Raw genomic sequence first — 13,583 nt, forward strand, 5'->3', positions numbered from 1 at the left:
TGTTACTCCATGAAACCTAATTAAATTGTTTTTTATTGGAAACCTATAATTTGCCAAGCGCTGGGGATTCAGTCTAAACAAAACAAGCAGATCCTTATCCTCAGGGAATAGACAGCTTAGTGGCAGGGCAGAGATTTTACCCAGACATGCAGGTAAAGTACAGACTTTGCTAAAGGAAAAATATAGGACTTACTAAACTATGCTGTGAGGTTCTAGCATTTCCAATTTGTAGATGAGAAAACTGAGACTTCAAGAGGCAAAATAATTTACCCATGATCATACTGGTAGAAAGTGGCAGAGCGAGGACTAAGCCCAAGTTTTTGAACTTTAAATCCAATATTCTTTCCATTGGAAACAGTTGCTTGAAGTAGCACAGGCTCTCATTCTGTGCTATATTAAGTTTTTCCATCTGTCAGTTTTATTAGTTGTCATTGATCTGTAATATTTCTCACACAAAACCATTATCCAATATTTCACACTTCATTTTTTAGGGTTTTTTTAAAACTGTATTTGGAACAGTGCCATTTATAATCAAGTCCAAGTTTTTAACCTACCAATTAAGAGCAATACTTAGATTATAATTATGATTAGTGTGTATATTAACGTTATAGATTTATACCAGGAAATTAGGACATTTTGTTCTGCTTGGCAGTAGTTATTAGCAAAAGAAAATTTCAATTTTAGAAACCGTAAATTTAACTTAAGGATTTTCTTTGTTGAAATTTCAGTGTGGGTTTTCCTTTGTATAATACCACGGATTTTACTTTTATGCGGTGTATACAGGTGTTCTACCTAAGCTTTCTTCCTGCCAAGAGACACACAGTTCTTCCTGCTCTGCCTTTTTCATGAGCTTCCATGCTTGCTTTGTTTCTGAATATAAAGCAGAGTGTGAATAGCCTGTGGACTGTATGCTGACAGACAAGTACATGAAGCGTTGAATATCTTCAAGAAATCGTTTTATATGATCAAGTCACTCAACTCGTGTTGACATAAGCTTACCCCAACTTGAATTACTCAGCCCTGTTGTTGCAGAGTGAGTTTAGTAACATGGCTACTTTTCGTTGGATCCATGTCTCCTGCGTTTCGGAGAGCTGCATATTCATGTCAGTCATAACCTTTGTCCCTGTAACCTGTCAGTTAACTAGAAAGAATTATACATTGCATAGCACTTAAAAATTTGCGGCCGCTTTTCCTTTCTTGTTGCGTTGGTAGCTGACGTTTAGTGGTAAACAAAGAAAATGCACTGGGTGAAAAGGCCTTAGGCTTTTTTTTTGTAGGGTGAGAGTGGGGGAGAGATCTCTTGCTCTGTTGCCCAGGCTGGTCTCCAGCTCCTGGCCTCCGGCAGTCCTCCCACCTCAGCCTCCCAGAGTACTAGGATTATGGGCATGAGCCACCACACCTAGCCAGGCTTTTTATATTGAGTTGGTTATATATGCTTCATAGCCACACTTTATAATATTGGAGTATAGTATTAAATTACAGCTTGTTGTCAAGTCAGTGTTTCTGTAAGACAGTATATCCAATATTGGTTAGAGTAACACCTATTTGGTGATACAGATCAACAGGGTGTCTCTGATTAATTTAGCTCCTACATAGCCAGAAGCAAGTTCATTATGACTTAGAATATTGTACATGGTTATGCAGGAATCATCCCAACCTATCTGTGTTTATAGGTCAGATGATGTTCAGTTTATATCTGCTGATAGTGTATATGCAGGAAAACCTATAAAACCACTTCAGACTTGTTAAAACAGTGAGAAAGCCGTGATTGAAATATTAATACAACTGTGTGGTATAAATTTTCATTTACAATGGAATGTAAATGCTGTCATTTGAATCTTGTCAAAGCCTGCTACTAAAACTCTGAAATACCTTGTCTAGGGAATAAGTCTTCAGTCCAGAAACAATATAGATGTGATGTGTGTGATTATACAAGTACAACATATGTTGGTGTCAGAAACCACAGGCGAATCCATAACTCTGATAAGCCGTACAGGTAAGTGTTATGATTCTAGAATTTTAATGTTTGTATTAAAATATTTTATATTAAAGAAATAAAATGAAATAAAAATGTATAGCACTTACTGAAACACAGGTTAAGAAGTAAGAAATTTTCACTAATTGGTTTTATATTTTGTTGTTTTATATATTTACTTATTTATTTTTTGAGTCAGTGTCTTGCTGTATTGCCCAGGCTGGAGTGCAGTGGTATGATCACAGCTCACTGCAGCCTCGAACTCCTGGCCTCAAGGGATCCTCCCACATCAGCCTCCCAAAGTGCTGGGATTGCAGGCGTGAGCCACTGCACCTGGCTGGTATTATGTCTTGTTTGATTTGTTAAGATGTGAACTTTAAGCTTGAATCTTAGGACAGTAGGCATTTTGTCTAGTTGATACATAGGAAATTGTCTTTATCTGTCAATTTTATGTTTTCATTTCATATGGGTATAAATTTCATAGCAATTTTCAATGCCTTAGAGTTCATTTCAGTAATTTGGCAGTAAGGTACTCAGTATTCAGCAAAAGATCCTTAAAACTTAAAGGCAATAAAATTTTCTATGAAAGAGTCCATTTTTCAAAATTAAGCTAGTATGTGTAGAATAAGTCATTTAATTTCATTACTTGATTTTTCCCAAAAGCAAATTCAGATATATATTTCAGAAAATATAGGCATTCTCAGTGATAGTGCTAGGCAATGCGCATGAACTTTCACCCCCTTGTCAAAACTTAGCAGGTTTAACTCTCTCCCCAGATTCTGTAGATATGATACAAGTGAGTGTGGGAAAGTTATTGTATTAATCTCAATGAAAACCTGACAGATTGTGCCATAAAAGGTCATTGTTTAATCCCAAAGTGTGGTGATCTGTGTATGGTTTCGAATATTTAATATGTGCTTAATTTGCAAACCAGCAGACTTACTTATAATCACTCTTCAGAAAGTACATCTGTTTGCAGAGTCTTAAAACTCTGTGGAAGGTGTTTGACCTTGCCTCAGTCCTCCTCAGTGTCTTCCTTCCTTCCTTCTTTCCTTCCTTCCTTCTTTTCTTCCTTCCTTCCTTTCCTTCCTTCCTTTCCTTCCTTTCCTTCCTTCCTTTCCTTTCTTCCTTTCCTTCCTTTCCTTTCCTTCCTTTCCTTTTCTTCCCTCCCTCCCTCTCTCCCTCCCTCCTTCCTTCCTTTCCTTCCTTCGTTTCCTTCCTTCCTTTCCTTTCTTCCTTTCCTTTCTTCCTTTCCTTCCTTCCTTTCCTTCCTTTCCTTTCCCTCCCCTCCCTCCCTCCCTCCCTCCTTCCTTCCTTCCTTCCTTCCTTTTTTTCTTTGACAGAGTCTCGCTCTGTCATCACCCAGGCTGGAGTGCAGTGGAGTGATCTCACCTCACGGCAACCTCCGCCTCCCGGGTTCAAGTGATTCTCATGCCTCAGCCTCCCAAGTAGCTGGGACCACAGGCATGTGCCATGATTAGCTAATTAGAGACGGGGTTTCGCCAGGTCTTGAACTCCTGGCCTCAAGTGTCCGCCCACCTTGGCCTCCCAAAGTGCTGGGATTACATGGTTACACCATGTCCAATCAGTCTATTTAATAGGTGGGACTGAGTATATTTACATTCGTGATTTATACTGGGAAATGTTTAGGAGAATGTGATGGAAACAGGGAACACTAGTTTACCTGATAGGAGGAGAAAGCTTTGCCTTTATATTTTTGGTATCCTTGAATTTAGACATACCGTGCCAGATTCATGTGATTTAAGTAAGAAGAAAATAACATTTCTCCGGGTCCAGAATTAGATTGTTCTTTCATTCATGGAGAAATATTTATTGAGCAAATATTATGCTTCAGGGGCCGTGCTAGATTCTTGGACTACAGTCATAACAAAACAGACGTCATCTTTGCTGTCATGGAACTTGTAGACAAACAATAAGCAAGTAAACCCTCAAATACTTAGGAAAAAGGTTAGCGATTCTAGTTCTGTTGAAGGTTTTACATCTGCTTTATTAGATCAGTCTTGCAGCTTAAAGATTCATTTTGATAGCTGTCAGTGTCTCAGGGATGTTTTCTTGTGTTCTTAAAATATTCACAGATTCATAGGATTCATTGCAGTTGTCCTAGGGTCTTCCTACCAACGGGCAACATCCCGTGAGCATCCTCTTTGTGTAACATCAGAGAACTCTCAGTCTGTTATTTTCCAAATTTATTCACACTCCACTTTGTCACTGGGTTTGGTGTGGTTATGCCTTAGATACAGTTTTGTCATATCTCCCTCTTTGTACTTATTATCAGTTTTTCCTCATAAGTCTTATTTTCTAATGTCATGGCTCTCCTTTTAACTTTCTTTAAATACTCACCATCCTTTGCCTTCATGGGATTTCTGGTCGCAGAGCATTACGGATTAACATGTTCTATTCCAGGATGTTTCTAGGACTTTCTCCTCGTTGTCCTATACTGTGTGCTTTAAGCGGAGCTGGTAGCGTAGCCTTTATAATGTCTGACTTAATTCAAGGATCACAGGAGTTTCTCTGGCTCATTTCATGTCTGCTTCATTCAGTTTCGTTGCCTGGTGCACTTATGGTCAGAGTTTGGGCTTGGTTTCTCAGAGTTCATGCCATATCCTATGCATTTCTGATTCCCTACATTTTGTTAAGAAACATGCTCACAGGCAGCAGTAATGAGTTCTTAAAGAGCTACAAGGCCTTGTTGCACAACTTCTAAACTTTGCACAAGGGCACAAAAGATTTATTGTTTATTTTAGTGTGCCTATTACATAACAAGTTTTCTGTAGTGGTGAAACCTGTTCCTTTCTCGTGCTTTTGCTTTTTATGCTGTCATTCCAGTCCTTCAATGACCCCATCCTTGTGGTCTGGGCAGTACGGCTTCATGGATCCCTGGTTCTGGGGGCAGATAGTCCTGGGATTGAATCTGAGCTCTCCCACTTGTGAGATTTGTGATCTTGCGCAAACTGTTTCACCTCTCTGTGCTGCTTTTGTCGTTAATAGAATGAGGATATTAAGGTTGTGAGGGTGAAATAAAATACCTAAGGTACCAGCACATAATAAACAGCCAGTAAGTGGTAGCTGGTAGTTACTGGGCCCAGCTTTTATCTTCTCAATAATTCATTATCTAACCAAAGAAAAGTACTAAAAGGCTGATGACCTCTAAACACTAGGGAAACAAAGAAGAATTAATTCTGTGCCAGGGTAGGCAGGCAGAGCTCATTTTACAAAAGAGATGCTGGGCCCAGGCAGAGTGCTGTCCCTGCTGAGGTCCCCATGCTATGTCTGGCTGCTCTGGAGTCACTCTAGTATCTTGGGAGCATCACAGGCCTGGACCACACAGTTTCTGTGCCCCACTGGGGACCTTGGGAATGTTATGCCATACTAAGCCTCTTTTCCCATACGAAACTCGGGAGAATACTTCCCCGCTCATAAGGCTTTGTGAAGATTAGGTGAGATTATATTTATGAAGTACCCAGCATGTTACTTGGTGCATTGAAGGGGCTTGTTCCCATTTTCTGCTCATGAAGTTGTCAGATTATCTCAGAAGCCCTGTTCTTACCCAGAAAAAAAGAGAGCTGTTTTCCATTCCTGTGGAAGGACAGGGAAAGATTAAAATGACATCATTCTATCCCAGTGCCTACCAATGCAGCTATTAATAACTTTGTTCTTACTCTGTGTAAACCATACACCAATTATAGTTATACCTGACATTTCTTTTTTTTTCTTTTTTAAATTTTATTTTTCCATAAGTTGTTGAGGTACAGGTGGTGTTTGGTTACATGAGTAAGTTCTTCAGTGGTAATTTGTGAGAACCTGGTGCATCCATCACCCGAGCAGTATACACAGCACCATATTTGTTGTCTTTTATCCCTCGCCCTCCTCCCACTCTTTCCCCCCAAGTCCCCAAAGCCATTTTATCATTCTTATGCCTTTGCGTCCTCATAGCTTAGCTCCCACGTATCAGTGAGAACATACGATGTTTGGTTTTCCATTCCTGAGTTACTTCACTTAGAATAATAGTCTCTAATCTCATCCAGGTCACTGCAAATGCTGTTAATTCATTCCTTTTTATGGCTGAGTAGTATTCAATCATATATATATATCTCCGAGTTCTTTATCCACTCGTTGATTGATGGGCATTTGGGTTGGTTCCACGATTTTGCTATTGTGAATTGTGCTGCTATAAACTTGCGCGTGCAAGCATCTTTTTCCAATAATGACTTCTTTTCCTGGGATTGCTGGATCAAATGGTAGTTCTACTTTTAGTTCTTTAAGGAATCTCTACACTGTTCCATAGTGGCTGTACTAGTTTGCATTCCCACCAACCGTGTAGAAGTGTTCCTTATCGCCACATCCACACCAACATCTACTGTTTATTGATTCTTTGATTATGGCCATTCTTACAGGAGTAAGGTGGTATCACACTGTGGTTTTGATTTGCATTTCCCTGATCATTAGTGATGTTGCATTTGATTTGCATTTCCCTGATCGTTAATGATTTTTTCATATGTTTGTTGGCCATTTGCGTATCTTCTTTTGAGAATTGTCTATTTATGTCCTTAGCCCACTTTTTGATGGGATTGATTGTTTTTTTCCTACTGATTTGTTTGAGTTCATTGTAGATTCTGGATATTAGTCCTTTGTCAGATGTATAGATTGTGAAGATTTTCACCCACTCTGGGTTGTCTGTGTACTCTGCTGACTGTTCCTTTTGCTTTGCCAAAGCTCTTTAATTAGATACAGCTATTTATCTTTGTTTTTATTGCAATTGCTTTTGGGGTTTTGGTCATGAAATCCTTGCCTACGCCAGTGTCTAGAAGGGTTTTTCCAATGTTATCTTCTAGAATTTTTGTAGTTTCAGGTCTTAGGTTTAAGTCCTTAATCCATCTTGAGTTGATTTTTGTATAAGGTGAGAGATTATACCTGACATTTATAACATTGGCCCCAAAGTTTTACTGAAAAGTTCCACTCAAAATTTTTCATATTAGATGGTCCTTGGTTTAGTTCAATATTGCACTGCTGGACCTGCCCTGATTTACATCTCCCAGTACCACTTTTGTAGAGAACAAGATGGGAGAACAAAACATTGTCCTAAGAGTATCAGTTTCTTTTTAACCATAAGGCATGGAACCCATTTTCCCTTAGAAATACAACTGTACTGTGCTTAGGTTCTGAAACTGTACTGTGGCAGGGGGACAGCATGATGTCAAGGGAAGTACATGGGCTTTGGGCTCAAGTACTCCACACACTGCCCGGGACATAGTAGGTGCTCGGTAAATGTTGACTGATAGTTGTCCATATCCCTCAGTTCTTCCCATCTATAAAATGGGTCTGATTCTATAAGCTTTTTGTGTAAGTTTAATTTGTGCTTGAAAATAAATGTGTAGTGGTATTATTACGCCTTTTCTTCCTTAAGTAGAATAGCTGCCCAAATAATATAAGATGAATTTTTTTTAATACCCAGTCCAAAAATACCCATTTTCCCCTAATTGTTTCAAAACATACTTTTGGAGGTAGCTTTTTCATATTGAGAACCAAACAAGGTCCAGCCGCTCTATTAAGAGAGTATCTTAAGTCTCTCTCTCCCTCCCTCCCTCTAAATTTTTTAAATAGATTTTATAATTGATGTTACCATGCCTCCTGAAAATTGCATAAATCATAAAGGTACAGCTGATGAATAATCACAAATTAAACTCATGCTTGTAACACAAACCATTATGAGCTCTTCAGCAGCACCCCTTCGTGGGCCTTCCAGTCATTACCCACCCCTCCCCTCTGTCTGGTATCCACTATCTTGACTTCTAACATTATCAATTAGTGTTTTCTGTTTCTGAACTTAATAAAAATGGAATCATACAGTACATATTCTACTTTATGTTCAGATTTTTTTGCTCAACGTGTGTGTATGTGTGTGTCTGTATAGTTCCACCTAGCAGAATTGCATTTCATTGTTACATAGTATTCCACTGTTAAGACCACCGCAATTTATTCATTGTTCTGTGAATAGACATTTGAGTTATTGTAAGGTTTTCCTCCCTGATATGATCTGATACCATTTTAACATTCTTTTACATGTTTTTGGGCACATATATGAAATGAGTCCATTTCCATTGGGTTTATACCTAGGGGTGGAATTTCTTGGTAATTGGACATGTATATGTATTCAGCTTTGGTAGACAGTGTCAACAGTTTTCCAAAATGGTTGTACCTATTCACATCCTCACCAGCACTTTGTGTTGTCAGTCTTTAATCTTTATTGTTTTGGTAGATGTATAGCAGTGTATTACTGTGCTTTTGTTTGCATTTCCCTGATAATTTCTGAGTTTGAGCATCTTTTCATTTGTTTATGGGCTATTATTGCCCACTTCTTTTTTGCATTGTCTATTGTATTAGTTTGGCATTGTTATAAGGGAATACCTGAGGCTGGGTAATTTATAAAGAAGAGGTTTATTTGGCTTATGGTTCTGCAGGCTGTCCTCTGCTTCTGGTGAGGGTCTCAGGAGGCTTCCAGTCATGACAGAGGTGAAGCGGGAGCAGATATGTCACATTGTGAGACATGGAGCAAGAGAGAGGGGAGGAGGTACAGGCTCTTCTTAACAGTCAGATCTTGCAGTAACAGACAGAGAACTCATTATTCATGAATGGCTACACCAAGCCATTCGTAAGGGATCCATCCCCATGACCCAGTCGCCTCTGCCCAGGCTTTACCTCCAACATTGGGGATCAAATTTCGACATGAGATTTGAAAGGACAAATATCCAAACTGTATCATCGGCTGTTTTCTTACTGATTTGCAGGAGCTCTTCATGTATTCTGAGTACAAGGCCTTTGTGGGGCGTATTGCAGATGTCATCTAACTGTGGCTTGCCTTTCTACTTTCTTAATGATGTCTTTTGATGAACAGACATTTCCAGTTTAATATAGTCAAATGTATTAATCTTTTTCTTTGTGTTTAGGACTTTTGTGTTCTTATATTCTGAAACTAGTTTTGATTTTTTGAAATAGTCTGTTGAGTAAGGTAGACGATGATACAGAAATAAAAATGTGTGCTGATTTTCAGGGATGGCACATCAACTATGCGTGCTTAGGTATTACTGAGCCTCATTTACTAATATGGCACTAAAGCTAAAAAAATCTAAACAGAAAACATTCCAGAAAGGCTTTCAGCAGGGGGAATGACAGTTTGGAATGGAAATGATAAGGTTGTCTCTCAGTGTAGTCAGTTATTGTATGGGATTTGTATAAATAGAAGTATATTAGAAATGATGATAATAGCTGATATTTTTGAGAAGATTGTTTGTGGGCCAGACCCGGTGTGCTAAGCATTCAATACGTGTCAGTTCAGTCCTCACAGCAGCCCAGTACTTAGGAATATTACTACCCCAATTTTGTAGACATGGAAACAGAGGCTGGGCTAGCTTAAATAACTTTCCCCATGTCTCAGAGCCGGGGCCTGAACTCTTGCTCCTAATAACTGTGTCATCCTGCCTGTCTGTGCTACACCAGGGAGATCTCTTTATGAAGTGTACTGCTGCTGCATGCCAGCAGCCCACACCAAATCAGGGTGTGAAACAGAAGCAATTTCATTATGCTCAGGGATTCTGTGGGTCGGTCAGGAATTTGGAAAGGACGCAGTAGAGATGGCTTGTCCCATACAGTCTGGGGTCTCATCAGGGAAGGCTTGAAGGCTGGAAGTGACCCAGACAGCTAGGGTGACAGTCCTCTGAATGCTGCCTCAGCATAGGCTGGTGGCTGTGCTGGCTGTTGGTTGGGCATCAGCTGGAACACATACATGATTTCTCCTTGTGGACTTTGCAGGTCTGCTAGTCCCCAAAATGAGCTTCTTAGATAAGAAGTAGGCAAAAGCTCTGTTGCCTTTTATGACCTAACCTTGGCAGTCACAGCCCATCACTTCCACCAGAGTTACAGGCTTCAGTCTTTTTTCATCTGTAGGCATCGTGATTCTTTAGTCAATGTGTTGGCTTAGGGAAAAACTTAAGTCTTTAGAAAGCTTCAATTTGTTTAAGGAAAATAGTGAAGGAGATAGTTTTATCAGGAGGAAAAAATATATATTTTGTTTTGAAGAGATGAACTGAAAGAGTTTGTTTTTCTCAGTGGCATAAAGATCTCTCAGGTTCATCACAAAATTTGAAGTGGCTGTTTTGTGGGGGCCTTAGTTATTTCTTTAAAAGCATAGAAAATGAATTGAAGGTCATAAGATAAGCTCTATTGCAAAATTTCTATTGAAATCGTTGTTTATGTGTTCAAACCAGACTCAGGTCACCCCAAATCTTGTAGGACATCCATCTGCTTTTTTCCATCTAAGCCCTCAAGGCAGTTGACCTGGAAACTAACCTTGGTCCCAGGCCAGGAAAGTGGGGGGTTTTAAACCAACATCCTTATCTCCTTGGGGTTCTGAGACCGAAGTAACTGACTTAGTAACAGTTGGAGAGTCTGTAGAAAAATTCAGTCTCAGGCTTTTTAGCCAAGTTATAAGAAGCCTTGGGTTTCTACATTGGCTTTCTTTGGGTTGCCAAAGTAGCTTCTTTGCATTGGGAAGAAATCATTTTTTATACAGATACAGGTTGGGTGTTATTGGTTAACATAGAAATTGTGCTGCTTTGGACATTCCAAAGCCTGGATCTAGCAATGGCCATATTTACAGGCCACTCTAGGAGTCCAGCAATCACACTGTTAGGGTGTTCACTTCTTTCCCCATGTCATGTGTATGACTTTGCCTTGGTAGACTTGAATAATTGAGTCCCAAATGGCTCTGTCATCAGGAGCATCCAGCAATTCCACCAAGGAAGCAAAGCAGAATCGTGACAGGTGGTGTCATGATCAGTGTGCTCTTTTGTCATGTGGTTTCGTTTTGGTTTAAGACTTTTTTTGGCCAATGGATGGGTTGGGATAGGAAGGAGCAGTTTACCCTACGTGGAAATATGATTGTTGCTGGTCTGTTGGTGAGGTGGTTAGAAATGATTTGTTAGACATAGCCTCTGTTTCAAAACATACTTTCTTTTTTTTTTGTTTTGTTTTTTAATACATGTTATTGTATATATTGGAGGTTAACAATATGATGTATAAGATGTAGATAGTAAAATGGTTACTATAGTGAAGCAAATCAGCATATCTATCATCTTACGTACTTTTTTGTGGCAAAAGCAGTTAAAATCTACTTATTTAACAAAAATTCCTAATACAGCACATTTTGATTACAGTCCTCATGCTGTGTATTAGGTCTCTAGACAAGTTCATCCTATATACCTGCTGCTTTGTATGCCGGAATCTTCTCTCCCTCCCCACCCCCAGCCCCTGGTAACCACTCCTTCCTTCTCTGTGTGTGTGTGTATTGGATTTTTAAGTAAGATTGAACAATATTTGTCTTTCTGTGTCTGGCTTGTTAGCATGAGGCCTCCAGGGCCATCCATGTTGTGGCAAAAGGCAGGCTCTCCCTTTTTAAGGCGGAATGATTGAGTATGTGTGTGTGCGTGCATACGTGTGTGCGCACGCGCGTGCACGTCACGTTTTCTTTATCCGTTTGTCCGTCAGTGGACACTTAGGTTGTTTCCATACCTTGGTTTTTGTGAGGAATGCTGCACTGAACATGGAAAGGCAGATACCTGGTGAGGTGGCGATCTCATCTCCTACACAGAAGAGGGATTTCTGGGTCGTGTGGTAGTTCTGTTTTTAATTTCTTTAGGAACCTCCATACTATTTTTCATGGCCGTACCAATCTACATTGTCACCAACAGTGTAGTAGGATTTCCTTTTCCCTACACCTTTGCCAACATTTATTCTCTCTTTTGTCTTTGATAATAGTCATCCTAACAGGTTATCATTTCCTAGTGGTTTTAATTTGTGTTTCCCTGATGATTAGTGATGTTGAGCACGTTTTCATATCACTGTTGCAGTTTTTATGTCTTTGGAGAAATATCTGTTCAGGTCCTTTGCCCATTTTTTAATCGAGTTATTTGTCCTTCTGCTATTGAGTTATAAGTGTTCTTTATAAATTTTGGATATTAACCCCTTATCGGATATGTGGTTTGCAGATATTTTTTTTGCAGTCTTTAGGTTACTCTTTCATTTTGTTGATTGTTTTCTTTGCTGTGCAGAAGTTTTTTGGTTTGATGTTGTCCCATTTATTTATTTGTGCTTTTGTAGCCTGAGCTTTTGGTATCATAACCAAAAAATCATTGCCACTGCAGCGAGATTTTTCCTTGTATTCTCTTCTAGGAATTTGATGGTTTCTGATATTCCATTCAGCTATTTTACCCATTTTGAGTTGATTGCTGTGGATGATGTAAGATATGGGTCCAGTTTAATCCTTTTGCATGTGGATATCCAGTATTCCCAGCACCATTTATTGAAGAGACTGTTCTTTCTCCATTATGTCCTCTTGGTGCCCTTGTCAAATATTCATTGACTGTGTATTTTTAGATTTATTTCTGGGCCATTTATTCTGTTCCATGGATCTGCACTTCTGTTTTTATGCCCTTACCATACTGTCAAAACATATTTTCTATCATTTCTCCTTTTTCTGGGTACTACATGTACAGATCAGAGCCTTAAAAATGGCTGTGCCCAGCCGGGCGCGGTGGCTCACGCTTGTAATCCCAGCACTTTGGGAGGCTGAGGCGGGTGGATCACCTGAGGCCGATAGTTCGAGACCAGGCTGACCAACATGGAGAAATCCTGTCTCTACTAAAAATACAAAATTAGCCAGGTATGGTAGTGCATTCCTGTAATCCCAGCTACTTGGGAGGCTGAGGCAGGAGAATCACCTGAACCTGGGAGGGGGAGGTTGCAGTCAGCCAAGATCAATTGCACCATTGCACTCCAGCCTGGGCAACAAAAGCGAAACTCCCATCTCAAAAAAAAAAAAAAAATGACTGTGCCCGTCAGCCCAGGAACGTTCTTATCTCTGGAAAGGAAGGGGAGGCAATTGAGGTGAGGCACACAGGGAGTCTCAAAGGTATATTGGTAATGTTCTGTGTCTCAACTAGGAGTGTTAATTGTTTATTATTATTATTATTATTTTTTTTTTTTTTGAGATGGAGTCTCGCTCTGTCGCCCAGGCTGGAGTGCAGTGGCGTGATTTCGGCTCACTGCAAGCTCTGCCTCCCAGGTTCACGCCATTCTCCTGCCTCAGCCTCCCAAGTAGCTGGGATTACAGGCGCCCGCTACCATACCTGGCTAATTTTTTATATTTTTAGTAGAGACGGGGTTTCACCGTGTTAGCCAGGATGGTCTCAATCTCCTGACCTCGTGAACCGCCTGCCTCGGCCTCACAAAGTGCTGGGATTACAGGCATGAGCCACCACGCCCAGTCCATTCTTTATTATTCTTAAGGAGTCTTGCGGGGGAAATGAACTCTATCCTAAAAAATAATCTGCAGTGCATTTATATTGATGTGCAAGATAATTTGTTATAGCATTGTTTATAATGTCAAAAAGATCAAAAACATTCTAGCTCTATGCTACTTAGTAGAGTGTATTTTCATAGGATGGAACATTATACCCCATTGAAAATGCATAATTTTTAACTTGAGAAAATACTCATGGAACATTGTCAAAAGTAGGATTAAAAATCTATAGTA

At 39.8% G+C, this 13,583-nt stretch overlaps 1 protein-coding gene across 2 annotated transcripts in view, besides 1 other annotated feature; it reads left to right on the forward strand.

Annotated features, from left to right (window-relative positions):
* Window positions 1-13,583, forward strand: part of ZNF507 (zinc finger protein 507) — a 42,058-nt gene that overhangs the window by 13,013 nt on the left and 15,462 nt on the right. For both annotated transcript variants that reach the window (NM_001136156.2, NM_014910.5), the window contains one exon: window positions 1,882-1,996. In NM_001136156.2, coding sequence (NP_001129628.1) covers window positions 1,882-1,996 — 115 coding nt within the window. The remainder of the gene's footprint in view (window positions 1-1,881; window positions 1,997-13,583) is intronic.
* Window positions 10,201-10,495: a silencer, noted in NCBI's record as "tiled region #4314; K562 Repressive DNase matched - State 5:Enh". NCBI's record gives its function as "represses a minimal TATA promoter and a strong SV40 promoter by Sharpr-MPRA in K562 cells {active_cell/tissue: K562}" and the evidence as "EXISTENCE:reporter gene assay evidence [ECO:0000049][PMID:27701403]".

The sequence above is a fragment of the Homo sapiens genome, chromosome 19 (genome assembly GCF_000001405.40).
Source record: "Homo sapiens chromosome 19, GRCh38.p14 Primary Assembly".
In the NCBI taxonomy this organism is placed as follows: domain Eukaryota; kingdom Metazoa; phylum Chordata; class Mammalia; order Primates; family Hominidae; genus Homo; species Homo sapiens.